The following is a 26,960-nucleotide window of genomic DNA, read 5'->3' as shown; positions in this document are numbered from 1 at the left end:
TAATAGATTTTTGCTTGCAGTCTAAAAAGTTTTGCCTATTTTATTTCATTAATTTCTTGGTATTTTATGGCATAATTAACATGTTAGTATTATTTTTAAAAACATATCTTTTTATCTGTTCTTTTTAAAAAAACAGATTTTCTTTCTTGGACTTTCTTTCACATGCACTTCTTTTTTTTAATTATACTTTAAGTTTTAGGGTACATGTGCACAACGTGCAGATTTGTTACATATGTATACATGTGCCATGTTGGTGTGCTGCACCCATTAACTCGTCATTTAACATCAGGTATATCTCCTAATGCTATCCCTCCCCCCTCCCCCCACCCCACAACGGGCCCCGGTGTGTGATGTTCCCCTTCCTGTGTCCATGTGTTCTCATTGTTCAGTTCCCATCTATGAGTGAGAACGTGTGGTGTTTGGTTTTTTGTCCTTGAGATGGTTTGCTGAGAATGATGGTTTCCAGCTTCATCCACGTCCCTACAAAGGACATGAACTCATCCTTTTTTATGGCTGCATAGTATTCCATGGTGTATATGTGCCACATTTTCTTAATCCAGTCTATCATTGTTGGACATTTGGGTTGGTTCTAAGTCTTTGCTATTGTGAATAGTGCCACAATAAACATACGTGTGCATGTATCTTTATAGAAGCATGATTGATAATCCTTTGGGTATATACCCAGTAATGGGATGGCTGGGTCAAATGGTATTTCTAGTTCTAGATCCCTGAGGAATCGCCACACTGACTTCCACAATGGTTGAACTAGTTTACAGTCCCACCAACAGTGTAAAAGTGTTCCTATTTCTCCACATCCTCTCCAGCACCTGTTGTTTCTTGACTTTTTAATGATGGCCATTCTAACTGGTATGAGATGGTATCTCATTGTGGTTTTGATTTGCATTTCTCTGATGGCCAGTGATGATGAGCATTTTTTCATGTGTCTTTTGGCTGCATAAATGTCTTCTTTTGAGAAGTGTCTGTTCATATCCTTCGCCCACTTTTTGATGGTTGCATTTCTTAAAATTGGGTTCTGTAAAAAATACTCTTGGAATTTGACTGATTCTTCACCCACTCTGTAGATTTATTTTGGGGAAAATTAATGTTTTTATACTATTGCCGTCTGTGATTTAGATCTCATTTTATTTGCAGTATCTGTTGTAGTTAAACTTAATTGTAGATATTTGTGTTTGAGTTATATGTCCCCTGCTAGATTAGTAATTTTAAATCCCCTCTATATCACATATAGCATATAAAAGTACTAAACAAATTTGTTTTGGCCAATGGATGAGTCAACTGTGTGAGACAAGAACTTCTTATGCATTTCTTGCATATCCCGTAAAGTACTTTCCACCTAGAATTCCTCATATAAATCATGAGGCAGAATTTTAATATGCTTGAACCTTCAGTCTAAGGGAAAGTGCCTTATCTGTCTAAAGAAGTGATTCATGTTTTAAGTACTGTATTCCGGGAGCTACAACCACTTCAACAAAAATTTATTGAAAGCCTCGTTTACAGTGGTGAACATGGCAGACTTCCCTTTCTGCCCTCCTCCCCCGATGTCATACAGTGTATGTTTCAGTGGGAAAGGCAATGGATAAGTAAGTAAACAAATTAATATGAAAGGTGAAACCGGACAGTGCCAAATGCTAGGAAGTATATAAAGGAAGTGTGATAGAGAGAGTCTGTTGTTAGCAGTGTTGTAAGGTTAGAGGAGCCCTTTCTGCAAAGGAGGCATGTGACCTGAGACAATCAGTCACTTGGGGTGTGTACAAAATGTATGTACTGACTCCCTGAGTGTCTGCATGGTTAGCACCTTAGAAGTTGATACCATGAGACATAAACCATTGTAAGACTAAATATCAAGGATTGGCATCAGGGTGTAAACACCTGCAGTTTGGAGAAATTCATTACCAAGGTAGCAGGCCATGCTTTCAGTTTACATTAGGTATTTATGAGCCCTTATCTTGATCTGGTGTGTGCTGAGACTTGTGTTTACCTCTCCTTTGATGGAATCCAGTTACTTTTATTGTATTTTATTTTTTAAATTCTGGGGTACATGTGCCGGATGTACAGGTTTGTTACATAGGTAAACGTGTGCCATGGTGGTTTGCTGCACCTATCAATCCATCACCTAGACAGTAAGCCCAGCATGCATTAGCTCTTTTCCCTAATGCTCTGCACCCCTGCCCTCCATCGACAAGCCCCTATGTGTGTTGTTCCCCTCCCTGTGTCCATGTGTTCTTATTGTTCAGCTCCCACTTATAAGTGAGAACATGCGGTATTTGGTTTTCTGTTCCTGTGTTAGTTTGCTGAGGATAATGACTTCCAGCTTCGTCCATGTCCCTGCAAAGGACATGATCTTGTTCCTTTTTGTGGCTGCATAGTATTCCATCGTGTATATGCACCACATTTTCTTTATCCAGTCTATCATTGATGGGCATTTGGGTTAATTCTATGTCTTTGCTGTCGTGAATAGTGCTGCAATGAACATACGTGTGCATGTGTCACTTTTAAGTCCTTTGTTCCATGTGATGCAACCATGATGGGGAAAGGAGATGAAGGGATGAAGAGGCCAATCTTGAATGCTTTCCACACCCTCTCCAGTCTTCACTAATTGTAGCAACACTTTTTATCAGTTTTATACAGTTATCTGTGTGTGTGTGTGTGTGTGTGTATGTGTGTGTGTATGTAGTGGGGGTTCTGTTTAAGTTTTCCTGTGATTTATTTCTGAAACAATTCTGCTACTAAAATAATTTTGAAATCCATTAGAATAATCCATTTCAAAATTTAAATGGTTCTTGTACTGGGGAATCAAATGATATGACATTGTCATTTGCTGTTCCTTTCTTCCATTATATTGAAGTGGATATGTGCAAAATGGTTCAAAATAAATGAAAGCTTTTTATCAAGGTAGAGAAGGCAGAAATTAGATATAAAGATTGGAGGCAAGTTGTTATGGCTTGAGATGATTTTGATTTGTAAATGTAGAAGAGATGGAAAAAATACTAAAGTGTGATTTATAGCTACAAGAACAAAAGGGCAGGACTGGCCATGGAGGGGAGCATACAGGGCCAGGGACTGGCTGATCTGAGTCCTGGACTGCTACCTCAGCCTGGATCTTGTCCCCTGTGTAACCTCAGGTATTGTCTTTCAAATGTGCTGAACTGGTACTATGATTACCACTTTGCAGAATTCATTCTGGGGACCAAGTATTATCATATGTTCTAGATATTTGTGAGCTGCCAAGTGACATCAGTGCTATGTAATTTTAATAAAATGGAAGGAGTGCATAGATGAAGTATCTAGTGTAAATCTTGATAGGTGTATATGGATTAGGTTAATGATCTCAAGCCCAGAAACAGTCTATAGCCAGTTAAGCAGGAAATAATTTGTTGAATAAAGGATTTTGGCTAGCAGAATTGATGAGAAAACTGGAAATCAAGTTCTGGCAATGCCAAGGACCTCAGGCTGACAGACAGCAAGGATTACTGGAAGAGTCTGCTTAAGATATTTCTGCAGGCACTGGACTCTTGATACTAGGGCCTAGAATAAAGGCACGTGATATATTTTTAGTAAAATTGTTGAACGAGTGGATAAATGAAAAGCACATGGTAGGTGTTCGGTAAATAAGTGTTAAATGAGTGAGTGAAAGAATAATGAGGCACAATCACTGCTAGACACTTGCCATTGCTATTGTGATTAATTTTCAGTTCTGCCTAGGTCCCTAACTCCCTCCCTCTAACTTTACAGCCATGAGTAGAAGGTTATAATTAAAGTGGCCAAACCCTAGTGCTCAGCTGGGCAGAGAGAAGAAATATCTGTTCTTAGGTTTCCGCAGTGAGTGAGTACTTTGCCTATCACCAAACCTTACACGGATGGGAAGGGTGTTCGGATTCTGGTTGTCCAAAAATATGATCAGTGGTCCCCACTATAGTGTTGGATTAACTTCATGTTAATTATTTGGAAACAGTGGCAACAAATGTATTTGGTTACTAAAACAGTGTAACCATTTACTATAGTTTTCCTGTAATTGATGTAAACAATAGTTGCAGTGTTCTCTATGTTGTAGAAAAATATATTTAATTATTGGATTATTACCCAATGTTATTGTCTCAAATTAAATACTGCATTGTTGAAACAAGAGACATGCAATTCTGGAATTCAAACAGAATTGTTTTTGTTTTTCTTTGAAATGATGTTAAATCAGTTTAGAAAGTAGAGAAATAACCATTACATGCCTTAATTTCTGTTACTAAATGAAGTGGAGGAAAACAGTGACTGATAGGAGCTTTGTTTAGTGAAATTCAACTAGCATCTCCTCTTAAATAATTTTAACATATTTTCCAAAATATTGCCAAATCTTTGATGAATTATTTTGGAAAACCTGGCTTCATTTGTGTAGAAGCCATTCATGTTTTCTGGTATTTCTCTTTCTTTTGAGGATGTCTGTGTAAAAAAAATTCTAAAAGTTTGAAAATAGGCTCAGCTCATATAACACCAGCCACATAGTTCATAGGTCTTGAGGGAGTCTCCAGGGATTACTTGGAGATTTTATATACATATAAAAAAGTATATCAAGGTATATGTACTACATTTTACTCAAGTTGGGTTTATATAATTTCAGGTTTCTCTGTGCACATTGGTGATTTCACATTTTAAGTTTATGGGATTCAGGAAGCACGTGTGTTTTAGGCTGTATCACATTGGTGTGGCACTAATCAGATGGCATGTAAATAACTTGTTGATAGGATCACTTAATAAACCATCATGATTCTTCAATCCATATGAGACTTATTTGGGAGAGAAGTGAAATTACAAGAATCAAGGGATTAGTATTATGTTTTATAAATTTTGGATATAAACTTTGAGAATTTTATTCTTATTCATAAGTTAACTCCATATGTTTAAGACGCACAACATTAATGATAAAAATAAGATCCATTGTATCATTTTTATATAGGGGTGTTGGCCTCATGTTAGTGTGGCCTTCTGTTTCTGTAAGGATTCTGGATGTTTAATAGACATTTTGGGTTGCATCATGAAGCTTTATTGACTTTTATGGTGAAATTATTACAGGGCAGGTGAATCCGAACATTGGGGTTTAGCCCGAGAAGGTTGGCTCAGGAAAGAATTCAAGAGTGAGCTGGTGGTAGAAAAATCAGCTTTATTGAGGCAGGGTTGTTACAGCTCTGTGACTTCTCCTTCAGAGCAGGGGTACCCCTGGGCAGTGTGTCAAGAGTAGCAGCTCAGGGCCAGTTCTGCAGCCATGTTTATACTACTTTTAATTATGTGCAAATTAAGGGACAAGGTATTCAGAAATTTCTAGAAAACAGAAGGTAACTTCTGGGTCATTGCCATGGAAAGGGATGGTAACTTCTGGGTGTAGCCATGGCAATGGTAAACTGTCATGGTGCTGGTGGGTGTGTCTTACGGAGAGGATCTTTCGTTGCCTCTTCCTTGTTTCTGTCAGTCTTCAATCTGGTCCAGAGTCACATTCCACCTCCTACCTCATTATGAATAATGAAAAGTCAGGCTGATAGGGCTCTGTATTTTCTATCTTGGCTTCTGTCAGAGTTGTCCCATCGAATCCGTCGTATATGTCACAGTTCACTTAACTGTGTTTAGTAAGGGTTTCTATCTTTAAAGCATGTTTGGAAACACTATCCTATGCAATAAATTTTAATTGGCTTCTTCCATATTTTCTTTTTCTTAATAAAGAACAAAGCAGACTTTTATTTCTAGTGAAATGGTTTACAAGATTGGGTCCTGAATAGACCCAAGAAAATCTAAATGTCATTTCTCTGAAGACTGCAAATTGTTGAAAGGCCCATATACTTTAAAAATGTTACCTATGAAAATAAGAAATTATTTAGACAGGTATAAATTACTATATGGTTTTAAGAACAGTCTTGAAAATACGTTTCAAAAACAACAAATTGTTATCGTTTTAGAAATGCAGATGTCATAGATGTTTTTGCAGCACTCTAAAGCAGCAAAAATGCATTGCAGTTGTGCAGTATTAAGGAAGTTGAAACATCGTTGACTGAGCTCACATTAGTTTGTTGGCTAACCACAAAATATGTAAAAAGGTAGAGCTTTTTGCATGTTTTTGATGCTGTGATTTCTTGACAGGAAGGAAAGCAAACTGCAGAAGCACAGCAAACTGCAGAAGCACCTGCAAAGTATTATAGGAAACAGTGAGACAACGATTAGGGCTTGGAGGATGGCCTACCATTAAGAAAAACTGTGTTGCACTTTAAGTTATGTAAAACTATGTTTAGTTGAAAATGTGTATTTTTAAAATATTTTGATTGCACTGTTCATTTTATCATCGCATTCATATTGGTATATAGCTACACTGTACATTTCTTTAATCTTCTATTAATATTTTCTTTTATTTAAAATCTTGTTTCAACAGTTTGAAGGTGATGAAGTTAATTCCATTGTAATGAGAATTTAATATGTTTGAGAGTTGGTATATTCTGTTGGTTATCACAGTCTGGACTCAGGCATACCTAAATCTGAGATTCAGTGTTGCCTTTGTCTTGATGTGTAATCTTAGACAAAATAGCCTCTCTTTGCCTCATCTCTAAAGTTGGAATTGTAGCAGTGATACTTACCTCATAAAGCTGTTGTGAAGATTAAATTATTTAATCAACATATAACCCTTAGCACCATATATGATAGTTTTTATAATATTCCCCAGTGAGATAATGGTGAGAAGAAGTAAGTGGGCATTTATTAATTGCTATATTATATTACTGTTGACGTTTCTTATGATAGAACTTTTTACAATCTCATGGAATATTATTGTCCCACCTTACAAATAAGGAAACTGATGTCTAATACAAAGATACTTTGATTTGCACATGCAAGGTATAGAATCAAGGCAGTTAAACAATTTGAGTTTTGCTTAAATTGCTCCAACCAAAGTTGTCCTTTGGTTGGAGCAAGAGAAGCTGGCCAAGAGAAATTAGATAATTTACCTGGTCTTGGTGAAAGATAATGAAGGCCAATAATAGGAGGGTTGGATAAAACTGGGCAAATTTGTTTGACATTTTAGCGGTAGAATCAACTAAATACTACTGCATGTGATTCAGTGTTATAGGTCAGCACAAGGGAATATTAATGGATCTCTTGGATATTTTGAGTTTGAAGTTCTCATGGGATATCCAGATTTAGATGCTCCGTAGACACCTGGAGCTGTAAAATAAAAAAACGACTTCAGTGGAGGTTCTAATTTTGCAAGTAAAGAGCATTAGAGTTAATAGTTGAATCCAACAAAGAAGTGCCAAATTGAGAAGTAAAGAGACCAGAGAGCAAAATCCTGATGGGCACCAACATTTAAAAGGTAGTTGGAATAATTTGGTGTGGCTAGCAAAATGTTTAAAATATACTAGGATAGTGAAATAGAGCACAGTAAAGGGAACTGCAAGGAATAAGGTAGTCTCTGGCAATATATGTATTCTAGAGACATCAAATATTATTTTTCTTTTTGAGCATTAAATTCAATTCAGCAATTTTGCAATTTTACAAGCAGTTATTTCAAGCATGTGCTCACAAAGCACTTTGCACGAGCTGTACTTCACTATCTGCAAACCTTGCATCTGGTCCTTGCTTATGGAAGCATTTCGTAAAGTTTCAAATGTAATTAAAAGTGATAGAATTTTTTTTTTTTTTTTTTTTTTTTTTTTGCCTGAGACAGGGCCCTGCTTTATCACCTTGCCTGGCGTGCAGTAGTGCCACCTTAGCTCACTGCAGCCTCAACTCTCGGGCTCAAGAGATCTTCCCACCTCTACCTGAGACTAGATGGGACCACAGGCATGCACTACCAAGCCTGGCTAATTTTTTCTTTTTTTTTGTGGAGATGAGGTCTCACCATGTTGGCCAGGCTGGTCTGGAATGCCTGTGCTCAAGCAATCCCACACACCTCAGTCTCCCAAATTACTGGGATCACAGGCATGAACCATTGCACCTGACCATTTTATTTGAGTTGTATTATTTTTCTTTCTACATTTTGGCTCTGCATTCTACATTTCATCATACTATACCATTATTGAGAATGAGAAGAGCTTGAGAAATTTGTTTATATGATATACTACCGTCTTCCAAACACAACTCCTTCTCTTCCCCTTAAGAGTAATTACCACTATTCTGATTTTTATGCAGTCACTTTCTTGCTTTTCTGTATTGCTTTATTACCCAGGTATGCATCCCTAAATATTACAGTTCAGTTTTGCTTTTCTTTTAATAGTATTTTTTGAGTATCTTATAATCTTCAGGTGCCCCAAACATAGCACCTGACGTCCGATACAAAGACATCTCTCTCCCTTTTAAAATTTGTCTATTGAAAAAACCAGGCCAGGTGCGGTGGCTCATCACTTTGGGAGTCCAAGGCAGGCAGATCGCCTGAGGTCAGGAGTTTGAGACTAGCCTGGCCAACATGGTGAAACCCCATCTCTGCTAAAAATACAAAAAAATTAGCCAGGCATGGTGGCAGGCGCCTGTAATCCCAGCTACTTGGGAGGCTGAGGCAGGAGAATCGCTTGAATCCGGGAGGCGGAGGTTGCAGTGAGCTGAGACGACACCATTGTACTCCAGCCTGGGCAACGAGGCTCCATCTCAAAAAAAAAAAAAAGAAAGAAAGAAAAAGAAAAAACCAGATCATTTATTTGTAGAATTTTCCCAGAATCTGGATTTTGTTGATTACTTTCATGAAATGTAGGTTAATGTGTTCTTCTATAATCCATGTTTCCTGTAAACTGGGAATTGGATCCAGAGACTTAACCAGTTTCAAGAACCTCCTCCAGCACCTTTTTTTAACAAGACTATATCCTAGGTAGTGGGGTATTCTTCCTCAAGAGAGACATAATTCTGTTTTTGAAATTATTGCAGCAGTTGATGCAAAATGCCTAGATCCATGATTCACTAGGGGTTGCAGCATCATTATGGTATATTTGTATGATTTCTTTTTTATTCATTTGCTGGAATTTTTCTATAAAGAGAACGTTTATTTTCTCTACTGTTTGGTTAGCCAGTGATACAGTTAGTGTAGGACAAACAAGGTACATGCTTAATATTTTTTCTTTATTTGCCACTGTTCAAAATTAAAGTTAGTTTTTTTGTGTTTTCCCTAAGTGTGTGTGTGTGCGCGTGGGCGCGTGTGTATGTATGTGTGTATTGTTGGATAGTTAGTGGTTGGGAACTTGAGGGTTAAACTGAAGAAAGAAAAGACAAGTAGAGGCTCTTACTGCTCTTGCTCTAGTGCACCCTTTTTTTTTTTACACCAGTATCCCAGAAATCCCAGATTTCTGGGATACTGGTGTAAAAAAAAAAAAAGCTTGTACTTACCTGCTGGGTCAGAGGTCCTGAAATCTCAGGCTTTAGAAATGGGGTTGGAGTGGAAGGGTGGGGAGTCCTAACCATTCCATATTCCTTGCCAAACTGTCAGGGAGGAACTTTTTCTCTGCAATTCTCTACAATTTCAGGCTCCGCGAATTAAACTGACAAAAGATAGATTAGCAAAACAAAAAGCGTATTTAATAACATATGGACAAAAGTTACCAAAACATGTAGCTCAAAGGGCCAGTTAAAAGTGGGGGCTTATACACCATCTTAGTAGGGTAAGGAGAGGAGGAGAGAAAGGCAGCTTATGGAAAAACGAAATGAGTTTTAGGAAAGATAAATGAGCCCTTTAGGTAACAGGTGGAAGATATAGTTTTGTGACAGTGTCTGTTTAGGTGTGGTGTGAAGATTTCTCATGTTCAGTGATGACTCCATTCTCCCTATTGCTCCTAGGGAGGGGATTTATGACAATGGAGGTTTTTTGGAGTTCCTTTGAAAGGCTCTGCTTTTAGTCAGAGTAGCTATTTTAGGAACTCAAATGCCTTCTGCTCAAAATAATTTGTATGCTATCCAGGCATATTCTGGACCCCTTCAGTGTGTGTGTGTGTGTGTGTGTGTGTCTGTGTGTGTGTGTGTGGTGTGTGTGTGTGTATTGTTTTCAAGATAAACACCTCAACTTCCCTAAAGCTTCTCTAAGGGTTAGCTCCTTCTCTTCCCACCTGTAGATGGGAAGAGTAATTGAGAACCTTTCAGACTACTTTTTAGGTACAAGTTTAAAAAATTTGCTAAGAGGGAAGGTCTAATGTTAAGTGTTCTTATGATAATCAATCAATCCAAAATAAATATCTATTTTGAAAGTCAAAAAGAAGGATAAACACCTCATGAATTCATACTGATATTGAAATTCAGTCAAAATTCAGAACTACTGGATGCTTATTTAAATTCTCTGTCTTGTACCTATGTCTATATCCAGTCCTTACAGGTTCTGAAGAAGACTAGGAATGGTTAGAATATAATATATCACTCAAATCCATGTTACACACAAAACATTCTCTAGTAGTTATTAGATCCATAAAACTTAATAACTACTAACAACATGATTACTCAAAATTATTGAAACAGGCATTCCATTCTCACCCATGAGTGTGTGTTTGTATTTACAGTTGTGCTGTTTTTACACTGTCAGAGCATACGGCACATGTTATAGGGTACTCTCTACCCTATATTCTGCTCAGTATAGAGCTTAAGGAGATAACTATCACAGCTTTAGGTTTTTTTTAATTGTGTTAATGTTGAATCAAAACTTTTCTTTAGGTGTGCATATAAAAGGGAATAAGAAAGGGAACCAACTATGTTGATAGAGGAATAATTCTTCAAATGAATGTTACATTAAGAAATTGTCAATGAAACACTGCTGTTAATAATATAAAAGGTTTTATGTGTTAGATTCCTCTGAATATAACTTTCACATTTTGTCCTCTTTTGTGCTAATAGAACATTCTAGTATGCCAGTAGAAAAAAATATCACTTTAGAAAGGCCTTCTAATGTAAATCTCACATGCCAGTTCACAACATCTGGGGATTTGAATGCAGTAAATGTGACTTGGAAAAAAGATGGTGAACAACTTGAGAATAATTATCTTGTCAGTGCAACAGGAAGCACCTTGTATACCCAATACAGGTGAGTATACAAATTTTAACCTACCTTGCTCACCAAAAGTAGCTTAATTCTAAATATTTTTGCTGACTGAGCATTCTTTCCTCTGCAGCCACTTGAATGTTATGCTAATATTCTAATTTGCATATTTACAGAATTATTTCTCTTTTTAAATTTTTATTAATGGCTAAGTCTTTTCATTTTCATTAAGGTTTTGAGAACTAAGCCTATATTAATAACTTGAATTATCTTTAGGTTCACCATCATTAATAGCAAACAAATGGGAAGTTATTCTTGTTTCTTTCGAGAGGAAAAGGAACAAAGGGGAACATTTAATTTCAAAGGTCAGTATTAATAACTTGAGGAATAGTTAATAACTTCAGCATTATGTTCTTAGATTTCTCAATCCTGTAATTTTAAAATTATTTTTACAATAATAAACATAATGTAGCTGAAAGAAAGTCATATGCTTTCCAGAGCCACAAGAGGCAGCCTTGAAAATGGTCTTGTATCCCCCAAGTCCACTTCCTTCCTGCTTCTATTCCTCAATTTAAAGCACATGTTTTAGTTCAAAAGGCCAGCCTACCACATTATTAGTGAATTATATCAGTTGCCTGAATTTCTTTATTTATCTCTCTAAATTCATAGCTCTTATAATAGTCCTCCACGTTTCTAAGTTATTGTGGTCCCAGCCTCTGAGAGTGTGGGTTGATGTTCTATATCCATAGCTCCAGGACATGGGATTTTAGGATCCATAAAACTTAAAAATAATATGGAGATGCACAAACGGTTGCCTACTTTTTATCTCACCAAGTAAGGAGGTTTAAAGATATATACAAGCCACAGAATATCATCCACATTTCTTTTGCTTGGAAACAAACGAATTAAAATATTTTACTGTTACCATCATTAAACCAAAACTCAAGAAGGTCTCAATCTCATAATAAAGACTAGTTATTTGAGTTAGATAATTATCATTATGAAAAACCCAGTATTTTGTGGTGATTAGTGAACCATATTATCGTGCTGGTATTTGGGAAATGCAATCTGTCGCCATATTAACTACGTCGGACTCTGCTTTGCATTAATTCCCCAGGAAACATGAAAATTGTTGTAACTTTTCCTAAAACTCCTAAAGCCCGACTGTCTGCTGTGACAGAATGTGGATGCTATTCTCAAGGCTCCATCAATAGCAGAATGGCTTGCTTCACCATTGCCATGATCTAATGGTTCACTCCTGTGTCCCTCATTGCATCCCTTCTGCACTCACAGAGTCATTTTATTTTTATGTCTTTGTAATTGTTCCAATGTGGTGAATATAATAAATTCTTGTATTTATATATCTTGGTCTCTCCAAAAGCAGAAACTAGTATCATTCTTTGATTATTTTAGTCATGTATATTCTTTCTTAACTTTTTTCCCTCCATTTGCCTTTAACTTGGTGAAGGACTAGATAACACCATATACATTTCCTTTCAGTTTCCTTTTCCTTATGCATTTCATTTTTCCCTCCCCTGCCCCATCTGCCCTTCCCCTCCTCTTTCCTTAATCTCTCTTTTCCTTTCCCTTTTTCTGTCCTTTCTTCCCTCCCACCTTTTGAGTTCATTTCCTTCCTTCCCTTCCTGCCTCCTTCCTTCCTTTTTTCCTCCCTTTCTCTTTTTCTTCCCAATGAGCAAAAAATAATACTAAACACACAAAATTTCAGTGAACATGTTTTATTGAGTTTTTAAAAAATATGTAAAGAAGGCCTACAGATTCTGAGGAAATGCTCACAGAATCTTGTGACTTAAAGTGCTCCCAAGATATTCAACTTTAAACACTTTTTTCTTTTTTTTTCTAAGACATTGTGCTCTGGAAATATATACTAGTCATACCTGCTTTCAATATTGAAGATAACACATTTTTCTCATTAGTTTTGATAATTACTTAAATTATTATGTGGAAGTGACCATTCTTGTGTCTAATGTGAAGATTAACAAGCATTTTACTTTTCAACATACCAATACATTGAATTGCAAGTATTCACACGGAAGGCCTCTTGATTCTCCAACTGTTTTGAGATAACTAAGCTGATTTTGGCTGGTGTCAGCAGCGCTGACCCAAGGCCTAGGATTTAAATCAAGGCTTTAAGGAAAGCAAAGAATCACTGAACATTTACTTTTTTTTCTTTTCTAGTTGTCTTGAAGCAGTTTAGGTTAGCTAATTTGTTTTTAATGCCCCTTTAACATTAATGTAACTTTTAAGTATGTATTATATCTTGAAGATATTTATAAAATTAATAAGTTGGGTCCTTTTAAATCTTCCTTGGTAAAATAAAAATTCCCTATAATTCATCTAAATTGAATATTGCTTACAGAAATAATTTTTACTTGAGTAGTATTTAAAGACATCTGTACATTATGGATATTATAGTTATTTAATAGGTCTGAAAGGCTTATAAAATGGTGTGTATTTTTATAAATGTCCTATTATATTATTTCTCCATATGGTTTACTTAATGGTTTTTCCTAAGAAGAATAATTATCTTTTCTTAGAAGACTTACAACTGCATGTAGATGAAAAGACTGTTTTATTCTCTATTTTAAATTGAACCAAAGATAAATTTTTCTGCCATTGACTACATGAGCCACCTATAGTGCATGAGCCTGAGTCTTCAGAACAATTCATCAGCAAAGTCCCTGCTGCTGTCTTTATGGGTGCTGGTTGATTTACTACTACAAAGTTGTAAAAGGCCCTCAAGATTACTGATTAGTTCAATGCACAAAAACCTGCTGACTTTATGTGTTTCGCTCTTGATGCCAGGACAGAGGAGACAGCAAAAGTGTACACTGGAAGTTTGTGACTGCTAATAAGTTGCTGATTACTTGCCACCCGAGAAAGAGAAAGATGAGTGATGGTCTATAGTGTTTCTCAGTAGTGGATCAAATATTCTGAGTGGTTGCTGAAAGCTTCCATAATATTTATCAGTGTTAAAATCTCTTAGTAGAAAGTATGCAGAAATTTAATTGGTAAAGAACAAGAACTTTTTGGAAGTCATGATGAGATTTTGATAGTACCAAATGTAGTGAAGCCTGTCAAAGCTCAACTATCTGTCTTCCCCTGGAAGTATCTAAAAATATAAAGTATGGAAAGGTAGCATAATAGAATCAGCTAGGACTTCAGCCCTGGATCCCAGTGTTGAAGTATAGTTAGCATTCTTTTACTACATGGAGTAATCTTTTTTCCTAATTTAGTGGTACCTAAAAGTCTTTGAACCAATATGACATTTAGGCCAATTTGTTCTAGTTCATGAATATACAAATATAGTCTCCAATTTTACAACTCCAGAGAGCTGTTACTTTCACTGGGTATATCCAAACCCCATCTTCCTAGAAACTAGCCTGAATCAGCAATTTCACCACCTTCAAACCTGGTTTATTCCAACCGTAGCACTCGTATGCATCCTACTTTATGCAAAGTCTTAAAAGGTCGACAGGGCACATTAGAATACTGTCTCACTGTCCTTATATTAGTAAATATTTCCAAATATAAGCTGTGGCCCTGAACCCCAGAATAGTTCAAACAAATGTCATGTTCCCTGAACATAGTGCATTTTATAATTTAAATCCACACTGCTGTTATTAGCCATATATAGCAGAACAAAAGCATGGTTTATGGTATTTTAGTCATTAGTCTAGGGGATAATCAAGAAAACTGAAGAGATGGCAAGAAAACAGAATTTTGGTTTCAGCTTTTCCATGTTGTCACTCAGTCATTGTCAGCTACCTGCAATTTACAGCCTGATCTTAATATTTAGTTGGGATGGTTTAATAACATAGTCATGTGTTCCTCATCAAATCTCAGAATACTCAACTTTCTTGAAAAGCGCCTCGCAGCTTCCATTATGCTTCCCAAGCAGGTAGCTCTTCAAGGAATACTGAAAAGCAGTGTATATTCTGCCAGGTTTTTCCCCAAGAATTACCTTTCTTCCACATTTTATTCTTAGCCTGTGGGTAAATTTTGGTATTTTGAACCTATTTCAACACATATTTTCATGCTAAAGCATGACTCAATTGCCAGAAAGAAACATGTAGAGATTGAGAAATAGGATATCTGAGAGATAAACAACCTGGGAAAGCGGAAACTGTGTCCTTAATTACTGAGTGTCTAATGCAAAGCCTGCACTCCAAAACAGTGTTTGTTTTAAGGTGAGCCTAACAGGGCTGTTGAGGTCATTGCCCTAGTAATGCACTAGTGCATCTTGTGCCTCTTCAGATGGAACTCAGGAAGTGTGGCTGCTCTTCCTCTCAGGTTGTAGGGAAACTTGTGGCTTCAGCAAAGAATCCCTATTTTAGCCAAGCTCCAATCTCTGCTTATCTGCAGGTCTTTAGTTGACATGATTTCATCCATTCTTTCCCTACTGGCAAACTAAACATATAAATGAAAAAAGTAAACAGACAAACACACGCATGTGCGCACACACACACAAAACCAAAAGAAGCAAAAAACCTGCTAAAATTGAAAAAAGTAAAAGAAAAAAATTAACAAAATAATCTTAGTTGATGAGTCTACATCTTCAGTGTAAGTGTACCTTCTATAATACATCTTTAAAGGTCAATCAGAAGGAACTGATTGCACCATGTAGGCTTTTTATTGTACTGTTTATGCTCTTATCTTTTAATATTCTTTACCAAGTTATTACATCCTTAAAACTTATTTTTTTTCTAAATTCAGTGCTCATTTGTATTCTGTTTCTAATGGAATCTACTTCAAACTTCCTTGACTAGGAAATTTATCATAATGGATATTAGTGTATATATATATATATTTTACAAAACCACATGAAAGAATTTTTAAATCTTATTTTCTTTCTTACGCTGTTCTCTTTCTGTTAATTTTCCTTTGTTCCTTGTTCCCACCTTCTCTAACTCTTTGCTGGCTTTTCATAAATTAGTATCAACTAAAGATTTCCTATCCTGGAAATTTTATCTGCTCACTCAAATGCTACCTGAGGTTAAAACTTTGAAGAAAATAATTACTCTAAGGTAACTTAGTAGGTGGGAAGAAAGAACAGGGGTTTGAAAACATGAAGCCTCTTTCTTACCCAAAACATTTAACTTATCCAAAAAGGAACAATACTTTTGTTGTTAGGCTCAATAATAGAAGACCTTCCATTTCTATACATTGGAGACAATTATATCGAATCTATCTACTATTATTATTACTACTAACTACACCCTAACTACTATAAATTAGTTTCATTGATATATAACTGAAAGTACTTAAAATAATGTAATGAAAAAATGAAAGGAGACAATATTTGCACATTTAATACATTTCCTTTACCTAAACTCTTTCAGTAACATACATTTCTCTATTTTATTCTCAGTCCCTGAACTTCATGGGAAAAACAAGCCATTGATCTCTTACGTAGGGGATTCTACTGTCTTGACATGTAAATGTCAAAATTGTTTTCCTTTAAATTGGACCTGGTACAGTAGTAATGGGAGTGTAAAGGTAAGATAGTTCCTTGATTTGAAGAAAACAACAACAACAGAAAACATTTATTTAAAAAATAACAAGATTGTAACAGACTCAGCATTCCTAAGATGATTTATACTTTTGTTATCTTGTTGTTTAGCTTATGTTCATAAAGAAAGAGCAGTGACAAACAGAGTTGTCATTTGATGGTTTTTGGCATGTTTACGTTATACATATGAAGATACTCTTAACGTTTCATTAGCTGGTAGTTTGTTTTTTAGGTTTAACAATTTAATTACATTCTTTGAAAAGAAATTACATTTTGTGTGTAGTTGCCTAGTTTAGAAATAACCCCATTAGAAAATATTCTTTTTAAAAATCATTCCATGAAAGTAACTAGAAAAAATGCTAGACATCTTTTTGGGCTTCTGTCTCCTGAAACATCTGTGATAGAATGCAAAATAGTGGCACTATTTGAGAAAATAATGAAAACTTTGTAACTTAATCTTACATCTTAGGTTCTATCAGAAAGTGTCATTGGCCTTTTCAAGCTACCTGAGAGAAGCCAAATACTTTTAATTCCTTTTTTACTGAGAGAAATCGCTATTCAAAGAGCTGATATTAAGAAAAACATGAGTATTTTATAAATAATTTCTGGTTTCCTTTCTTCTCCCCAAATAGCCTCTAATGGCAGGAAAATTTAGGACATTGTCCTTTAAGAGACACCCTTCCTTTGCCCTGGCACTAAGAAGCATTACAATTAAAGTCCCGTTAAAGGCAAGCTATAATTGTAGAAGGAACATGTGAGACAGTGTAGATGTTACAATGAAATATTAAATTCCTTCTTAGGCAAAATTGGTGTTATTATAGACTATTGAAGGATGACAGATGATTCAGAAGGGAGTGTGACTTATTCTGTGCTAACAGGTTTAGTTTTTCAATGAAATAGTTCCAACCAAATCCCATAGATGCAGACTGAAGCCATTCCTACTCCTTTATGTCTTCTGATGGATGATGAGGAAAGGCAGTCATTGTGTATATGTAATTTTTTTTTAAAAAGTGTAATTTTGTAAAAACAAATGTCAACTATGGTATTTGAAATACACAGCTTTATTTATTGATGTGTATGTGGTACAACAATATGTGAAAAACATTAGCCTTCATCTAATTATATCAGATGTTGAAAATGTCGTTTTAGACGTACCAGTGCTTTTGTCCATTGCTATACTAGTCATTATCCTCTTAATTTGACTCTAAGCATGAGTCTTATTAGGATGTGAGAAAAGTTTGGGGAATAGGATGCAGGTCAAAACTTGAGCACAAGTGCCTTTTCAAAATGTAGACCAACCATGTGCATCAGAATCAGCTGGGTACTTATTAAAAATATGGTACTTTGATTGATTAGCTCTGACCAATCTGTACCAAACATTCCAGGCAGTGTTGTGCACATGGTGCCAGGTTGCTGTAATTTTTTTTGCACGAATAATATACTCACAGATAATTATTCCTTGGATAAGCTCTGAGAATATTTGTATGCAGATTAGCATTTATTGAATAGCACGGTTGAGTGATGGAGCAGGAAAAGCATCAAATGGCTTGGGAATAAAATTTAATTTAAATAGATTAAATAAAACAGCCCCAAATAGCTTAATATGGCACCTTGTGAGGCTGTGGAAAACCCAGCAAATCTTAGAAGCCAGCTTATCTGAGTGAGAAAGAAATTCAGATATGAAAAGACAGAAGGTGTGCAGTTCACTTCGGATCCCAGGCTCACAGAGGGTCCCCTCCATTCTATCTACATCAGCTCCAAAAGCCTGAGAGTTTCATCTTCATTTCTAGCCTGGGGAAATCACATTGTCTGAGTGAGCGATTTTCCTTTATAGAAATGATCAGAAATAGTAGCTTCCGGGGTGGTAGTTGTTTGAATATGTGCCTGTGCTTGTGAAGGAAAAAGTACTTTAAAGCACTAGGCAAGGATAGGAATGTGAGACTCAGATGATTGGGATTTTTCTGTTTTTAATTCTTCTATAATATTTATTCATGATGACCTATTTGCTTCTTTGTAGTTTTAAACATTCACTGCTAAATCCTTATAGCAATGTATATATTTTTTCTTTGTTTGCTCCCTGGGAGATCAAACTCTGATAAGACTTAAGTCTGTTATAGATAACCTCTCACAAACTTTAATATGCCTTTCTCTAGTAAGCAATATTGTTGGCATTATCTTATAGCTTTCACTGAAAAACTATGTCATGTATCTTTTATGTGCTATGATAGGAATGGATTTTAATGTCTCCTCATATTAGGTTCCTGTTGGTGTTCAAATGAATAAATATGTGATCAATGGAACATATGCTAACGAAACAAAGCTGAAGATAACACAACTTTTGGAGGAAGATGGGGAATCTTACTGGTGCCGTGCACTATTCCAATTAGGCGAGAGTGAAGAACACATTGAGCTTGTGGTGCTGAGCTATTTGGTGCCCCTCAAACCATTTCTTGTAATAGTGGCTGAGGTGATTCTTTTAGTGGCCACCATTCTGCTTTGTGAAAAGTACACACAAAAGAAAAAGAAGCACTCAGGTGGGATTTCTTTTTTTTGTTTTTTGTTTTTTTTAGAAAGTATTATCAGTTAATTATAAGTATCATTTACTTATGATATGGATTATGATTTGATACATTGCAATGACTTTAGGATTTTTGGGGAAAATCTTCATTTTCTTATTTGGAGCAGTATTTAGGTTTACAACAATGGTGACAGTGAGCTGGAAACATATACCCATGGTCTTCCTGTTTCAATTCCTGAAAAAACTTAGTATTAAAAATGCCTTTTTTCTTTCTCTTCCCCCACCACCCCCCTCTTTTTTTTTTTTTTTTTTTTTTTGGTGCTACTGGTACCTAAGTACCAATTAGGTGATATGTATTCTGGCACTGGAATATTAGAAAAATCTATGATAGCTTAATATAAAAAGTCTAAAAGAAACAATTTTTCTTTCACTTAGATTATCATTTAAAAAAATATTTTATTAACCATTCCAGAGTTCTCATTAAAGAGAGACCATCCTGTCATGTCCTATTTTTGCGGCCTGTGCCTGATGGGTTACAGGTTGATAAAGCAGTAATCCTCTAGAAAATTGACCTTACGTCCTGTATTCTTTCCTGATTTTATACTAAATTTTTAATGATTTAAATAATGACAAACTAAGCAGTCATGTTTTTGAAAATACCAGGCCACTAAACTATGTTTGATCAGAAATGCAGATAAGGTCTGTAGTGCAGATAAAGGAGGTGTAGGTGTTTAAGGTAGCATGTCTCTCCTTCATTCCAAACAGGAGAAACAGCATAGTACTTACTTACTTAGGAAGGAGGTTTAATTGAGCATATATGTTCCATAAAAGTGACAAACCAACTTCACAGTCAAATTCTTCTTTTGTTACACAGATGAGGGGAAAGAATTTGAGCAGATTGAACAGCTGTAAGTATTATTTTTTACAGATTAATTTTCACTTGGGTAAAATACAGGGAAACATAAAATTGAATGAAATGTTTGCAGTTAGGGGGAGAAAAGGCAGAGGAGTATTTTCTGTATATGTCCACGTGGTGGTGGAAAGTGGCTTTCCAAGTCTGCCTACCTGCGTGAGAATTCTTCTTCATCACTTACTACCTGCACTTCTCTGTACTTCAGCTTTCTTCTCTACAAAATGGATTTAATAATAGTACTCACCATATGAGGTTGTTGGATGGAATGAATATTATATATGTGTAAATGCATAGCATAGGTTATGGTGCACAGAAGGTGTGCAGTAACCATCAGGAAGTATTTAATATTATTATTTTTAAAGCAATAGTTCTCAAGCCTGGCAATTTTTGATCACTTAAGAGCCTCTTTAAAAAAATACAGTTGCTCAGACCTTGCTGAATCTCCTGGATCAGAACCTCTTGGGTTGGGGCTATGGCATCTGTTATTTCTTGAAAACATCTACAAATGGTTTTGATCCTCTGTCTGTTGAAAATCACTGGCCTAGAATTCTATTAGTTATTATTATTCAGAGAACACAAATTGTGCCACAGGTTCTCTTACACAGCCTTTGTTTAGAGTTAAGCATGAGGAGGTCTGGAAATAAAATCACCAGGGATGTAATTTAGTTTGGCAAAGATGGGAGTTCCGAATTCCTCGAAGCCAGAGAACTGAGTATGGAGGCCAGTGACAGAGGTGTCCAAGACTGGGATTAAAGCCTGAACAATAGAGCCAAGGGCTGGAGTCCAGGAAAACGAGGCTAGATTAAAGTTGCTGCAAGAAACCTGAGAAGTGGAAGGCCTGAGCAACTATAACTAACACAAAATGGCACTTAGAGTTTATCAGCCAACAGGAGCTCTATGGAGTGAGTGTTACAGGCATGGATAGCAGGAGTGGAGCAGACAGTTGTCATTTAGATGTTTGTAGACATTATTCAGATAATCATGTTGACTCCATTCACATAGGCTGCTAAAATAAACCAATATGATATGAGCTTCCAAGTTAAGGGCACAAAATAACTACATCAGAAATCCTATAACACCAGATAGAGAAAAGCAATGTTGTCTTAGAATCATAGACTCCCATAGTTGGAAGGGAATTGTATCTCTCCCAAGAGAATCCCTTCTCTTTCTGGAGAACATAGATATCTTATTTATGTTGATTTGAACTTTTAATCTTTCCTATTTCCACGTATTGGCGTTTTTCTTGTTCTTAGCATCATATAACAAACGTGACAGTCATTGACATATTTGAAAACAGAACCTTGCTCGGATTCCTCTATTCTCCGAGCTCTGCCTCCCACTGTCTCTAACCATTCTTCTGAGCTCACATTTGGAAGTTGCATTCTGATTTAAAACACACTCTGAAAGGATGGTACCAGAACAGTGTGGAATGGACCATCACTTCTGAACAATGTAAAATGGATTCAATATATAGTGTAAAAGATGAATTATTTTTCTGAAAATTGGATCAATGTACATCATTTTGCTCATCTTGTATAGCACCATAAGGATCACTGAAGGTGTTTAGTTTTTCTTCAGGTTATTTCACTATCTTTAGATTGTATACAAATATCAAGGGCACTTGAAATCATTCAGAACAATGAGCTTCTTGATGTCCCTCAAACCATTTCTTGCAATAGTTGCTGAGGTGTTTTCTTAGTGGCCATTATTCTGCTTTTGAAGAGTACACACAAAAGAAAAACAAGCACTCGTGGGATTTCTTTTTTTTTAGAAAATATTAATTATCAGTTAATTGTAAGTAACACTGTCTTATAATATGCATTATGATTTGATAATTGACGCCTGCCCCCAAGACCTTGAAGGGCAAGGTATTCATTATGCATACTGGTTATTTAGTTTCCGTCAATCTTTAGAATCTGAGGCCCACATTTGTAGTCCTGCTCTGATAAACTTTGGGTGGAAAAAGAACCATTTTTAACCTCTATTTCAGTGTAATAAGCATACAAATGTATAGCACCAATATCACACATGTTGGCTGACCTCCTAATTGGCTATTACCTTGCATGTTTCCAAAACCACACATAAGTTATGGTCTTTACGCCCAAGTCCTCACTCATGCTTGGGGAGAAGCAATTCTCCCTGTGCATAAAATCAACAAGCCTTTGTCACTATCATTTGTGGTAACAGCTCCTCTTCAAGCAATGCCATAAAATAAATTCAACATTGTAAGTAAAACATTTTTAGGAAGAAAGAATTCTGTCCGTATTGACATTTTACATTTTAACCTGATAGCCATATCAGTGATGTACTGACTTAATTTTATATAATATAAGCATTTAGTAATTTTCTTTTTTGTTTTCTGTGCAGGAAATCAGATGATAGCAATGGTATAGAAAATAATGTCCCCAGGCATAGAAAAAATGTAAGTTACTTCTGAATGATATTCCAAATAAAAGGTCAAATTCAATATACATAGGCTATCTATCAATCAGTTACTTTTTTTTAGTTCCATAAAAGATCTGGTCATTTATGATGTGCTCAAATATGCTTGTTAACACTATTATAGGGGAAAATATACAGTATAGTTATACAAAAATAAATCATTTTCCACCAGAGGGCACATAGCAACTAATCTAGAAGTAAATCTTTTGCACTGGCTACATATTTTATTTTATCACCACGGACTAGTTTCTTTTACAATTTTTCATGTAGCTTTATTTGTTTTCCTCTAAAATTTTCTGGATTTTCTGTTATTTTAGTTTCATTTATTCCCATATATTTGGGGGTATAAACTTATGCATATAAGCTAACTTTCTTTGCTGATTAGATTCAAAATTTTTAGTTCATCAACATTAGAGTAGGAGCTCTGTTTTGGCAGTAGATTGGATCCCTCACTTCCCAGTATTTTTTGCTTTGCTAAAGTGATAGTAAGTTACTATAAAATAACCAGAACATACTAATTATATTTGATTATGCTTTATTTAACTCAGGAGTCTCTGGGCCAGTGAATACAAAACATCATGTCGAGAATCATTGGAAGATATACAGAGTTCGTATTTCAGCTTTGTTTATCCTTCCTGTTAAGAGCCTCTGAGTTTTTAGTTTTAAAAGGATGAAAAGCTTATGCAACATGCTCAGCAGGAGCTTCATCAACGATATATGTCAGATCTAAAGGTATATTTTCATTCTGTAATTATGTTACATAAAAGCAATGTAAATCAGAATAAATATGTTAGACCAGAATAAAATTAATTATATTCTGGTCTTCAAAGGACACACAGAACAGATATCAGCAGAATCACTTAATACTTCATAGAACAAAAATCACTCAAAACCTGTTTATAACCAAAGAATTCATGAAAAAGAAAGCCTTTGCCATTTGTCTTAGAAAGTTATTTTTTAAAAAAAAATCATACTTACTATTAGTATCTATGGAAGTATATGTAACAATTTTTATGTAAAGGTCATCTTTCTGTGATAGTGAAAAAATATGTCTTTACTAAGTTGAAATGAATACTTTCTGCCTTTGCTAATGATAGTTATTCTACAATCTCCACAAGAAAAATATACCTTTTATCCGGAAATATTGGTTTAAGGCAAATAAATAAAACTGTGCTTGCTCTAAAGCTCTGCACTACAAAAGCAAATTTTCCAGTCTTTATTCCACTCATAACCACTGCTTTCCCCACCAGGCTAAAGTGCTTCTTAGTCTTAAATAGGGTTTTTAACTTCATAAGGTACACCATTGTTTATGTTTTAGGGTGCAGGTCCATATAGTCGTAATACTTAAAACACTGCTACACTGATGCTTTTGTGGCTCATGGTTTCCTGGTTCTTTGATTTAACACCTGGCTTCCTGGTATCTATGGCTGGTTAAATATCTAAACCTGCATTATTAGTGCTTTACAATAATAATTCCCTTGACTGAAGTCCAGAAATACTAAAGCACTTCTTTTTTATTGCTGTGAATGCCTTAGACTTATCTTCCAAAATAGGATACTTCGTTTCTATTGCATATATAACTGAAATATTTTATAAACTCACTGTAATCAAATCTTATAAAATCTGAATCAACATGAAAAGTTGTCAATGCTTGAATGAATACTAAAATCATACCACAAGATACTAGATAACATAAATGACCATGAAGTGTCCCACTGCTCAAAGGGCAACAACTTTAAGAACAGAAGCAAAGAGTGGTGGTGTGGAACCCAAGATTCTTGGCGACTAGGGAATTTAAAGGTTGGGGAGGAGGAATTCAATGATTTGACAAGAAATACTTTATAAAAATTTGCTCCATGTATTGGCTAAGAAAAATATAATAAAATTTTGGTAGTGAAAATTGTATCACTAATGTTTACCAATATTACTAGTATGAATAATACACATAAGGTAGTGACTTGGAAGCTGCTCAATACTTTGTTGCTATAACAAAATGCAATATTTTGTTGTAAAGCATCTTAACTACACATATAAGTTTGCTGAACTTGAATACATCCCGGTAATGGCAAACTTCATTTTATTCTTGGTTTTCATTTTATTCTGGTCTCAGGGCCATACATTTATTTTAGTTTAATTAATTATTATTTTGACAACATTACTTGGGTAATATCTATATAATGGTAGATAACCAATCAGTTAGCTTAATTAATCTAAGCTATTTGAATTCAGGGAAATATTAGTCAAATCTGCTGTTTGACTAAATACAATTCAAAGCAGTGTATTTGTGACTTGGAATATAGAACACAAACAAATGTGTAACCCATCTGCAGTATGCATTCTTCCATTTTACCACCACTAACCATTGAGGCTCATACAATTTTCAAGCAACAAGCATTGCTTCCCAAAGGTAAAATAATCAGGAATATTTCTATAGTAAATGGAGTTTTTAATTGGCAATACTGTTTATTTTTTTCTAGCAAAGACAATTTATCTCAGTAACCTTAAATAGGAAAAGTACTCAAAAATTAAAGTTGACTTTTGGCTTTTTGTAGTCTCTCTGGAGGACTTCCAGAAAATTACCACTGTTGGATTTTAATCTGCTTCCATTAACCAATCTTACAGAGATGATAAATGAATTAACTAATATTGACCAAATATAAATTGACTGCAAATAATAAGCCGCATAAAAGTTGAAGTAGGAAAACTACTCCAAGTTTATATATTAGGCACCTTGGGGAATTCTCTTAGTCTTTCCAGCTAACAAGGATTTTCAGCATAATAAGTAGATTTAATGATGGCATAAAATTCCCAGATACTTTCATATACATTTTTTGCCAAAGTGTAAATCTTCTCCTTTTGCAGTCTTTTTGTTATTATCCCAACATCTAGCTGCTCAGGCCCTAATTTAGAACTCATTCTGATATTTTCTTCTTCTGTATTAATTAATACTTATGGGTCATGAATCCCTGCTCCTTTGACCTTTTTAATAGCTCATGAATCCATCCCATTGCCTCCCCAACTCTGCCCACACCTGCTGCAACACTAATGCCTTGATTTTCCTACCTCAGTCTCCTTTTCTATTAATCCCTCTTTTGCGTGGCTGCCTGAGTCCACTTTCTCAAACACAAACCTCACTATGCAACTTTGGAATCTCTGTAGGCTCACCTTTGCCATTTCTTAATATTGCATTCTCCAAATTGCTAATCTCTATCCAGTCTCTTGAACTAGACTTGGCACATGGAGATTCCGCTCAGAAAGTGCTCTTCACACTTCTACCTGCTTGACTAACCCCAGATTATCTTTCAAGACTTTAATCTGATCTTGTGTCTTAGAGAAGCCCCCATACCTGGTAGAGCATGTACCATCTTACATGCTTAAATAACTCCACATTTATTTGTGTTTATTACTCTGTGTTATAAATATACATTTGTTGGTCTCTCTCTTGGATTATTTTGTTTCTTTGTCCTGTAACTACCACTGAAAGGGTGCAATACAGCTTTCTTGAAATGTGTATTGAACGGATGAATGTATAAATAAAAATTAAATTTTGTAAATTTCTGCTTATTCTTAGAAAAAGAATCTAAATTGTGACAAATCAGAATTGAAAAAAGTATTCTAATAAAGAAAAACAAGCTTTTATAACTTCAGTATTTGCTTCTTTTACTTTGAAAAACACATAGAATAGTATAAAGGTCCAGTCATATTTTCTGTAATAGTGAATTAGTGTCTTGTGAGCAAAATGAGTTCTAATTCCTAAACTATTACACAGATTACGTTGCTTTCAACTTATTTAAATTTCCCTTGTTCTTCATGTTTCATGGACAGTACAAATGCAAACCTTATTTTTATCCTTTATTCTAATAACATAATGCATTGATTTTAAATGTAAAGAATTTTAGGCTGCATGGTGGCTCACATCTATAATCTCAGAACTTTGGGAGGCCAAGGAGGATGGATCACATGAGGATAGGAACTTGAGAACAGCCTGGGCAACATAGTAAGACCCTGTCTCTACTAAAAATAAAAAAGAAATTAGCCAGGCATGGTACTTGCCTGTAGTTCCAGCTACTTGGGTGGCTGAGGCGGGAGGATTACTTGAGCCCAGGAGTTTGATGCTGCACTGAGCTATGATTGCCACTGCACTTCAGCCCGGGAGACAGAGGAAGACTCTGTATCTGTTCCCCCCAAAATTTAGTGATTGTATTTCTTTACATCATACTGTAGAGAGTTGATGTTTGTGTTCACTCCACTAACCTCATTCCACTTTCCCCTGCCAGTATACTTCAGAATATCTCAGATCCAATTCAAAATTTAATCTTAAAAGGTATAATTATTTTCACAGTTTCATAGTTTAGTTTTGATCACTGAAAGCATTTCTTTCATTTTGTCTAATCGAACAAATTTATGCAAAGAATTGGGGACTTATTCCTCATTAGTATTGTTCATCTATAGGTGGAAATAAGTTCAAGTATGTGTTGCAGTATTAATTAAAGGCAAAGTGACCTACTTGTACTATATTCTGAATAAATACTTATTGAATGAATGAAAAATAGAAGAGTGACTCAATTATTTT

General features: G+C 35.4%; 1 protein-coding gene across 3 annotated transcripts in view, besides 1 other annotated feature; it reads left to right on the top strand.

Annotated features, from left to right (window-relative positions):
- Nucleotides 1-26,034, top strand: part of EMB (embigin) — a 47,154-nt gene extending 21,120 nt beyond the window's left edge. For all 3 annotated transcript variants that reach the window (XM_011543146.3, XM_047416702.1, NM_198449.3), the window contains 7 exons: nt 10,843-11,029; nt 11,261-11,349; nt 16,374-16,501; nt 18,772-19,048; nt 19,907-19,940; nt 22,313-22,367; nt 22,936-26,034. In XM_011543146.3, the coding sequence (XP_011541448.1) occupies nt 10,843-11,029; nt 11,261-11,349; nt 16,374-16,501; nt 18,772-19,048; nt 19,907-19,940; nt 22,313-22,367; nt 22,936-22,953 (788 nt within the window). In that variant the 3' untranslated portion in view covers nt 22,954-26,034. The remainder of the gene's footprint in view (nt 1-10,842; nt 11,030-11,260; nt 11,350-16,373; nt 16,502-18,771; nt 19,049-19,906; nt 19,941-22,312; nt 22,368-22,935) is intronic.
- Nucleotides 6,002-6,051: an enhancer, noted in NCBI's record as "active region_22542". NCBI's record gives its function as "activates an Ori minimal core promoter by ATAC-STARR-seq in GM12878 lymphoblastoid cells {active_cell/tissue: GM12878}" and the evidence as "EXISTENCE:reporter gene assay evidence [ECO:0000049][PMID:35858748]".
- Nucleotides 26,035-26,960: the final 926 nt, after the last annotated feature.

This window comes from Homo sapiens, chromosome 5, assembly GCF_000001405.40.
Source record: "Homo sapiens chromosome 5, GRCh38.p14 Primary Assembly".
Lineage (NCBI taxonomy): Eukaryota > Metazoa > Chordata > Mammalia > Primates > Hominidae > Homo > Homo sapiens.
This window is presented reverse-complemented; position numbering and strand designations above follow the sequence as displayed.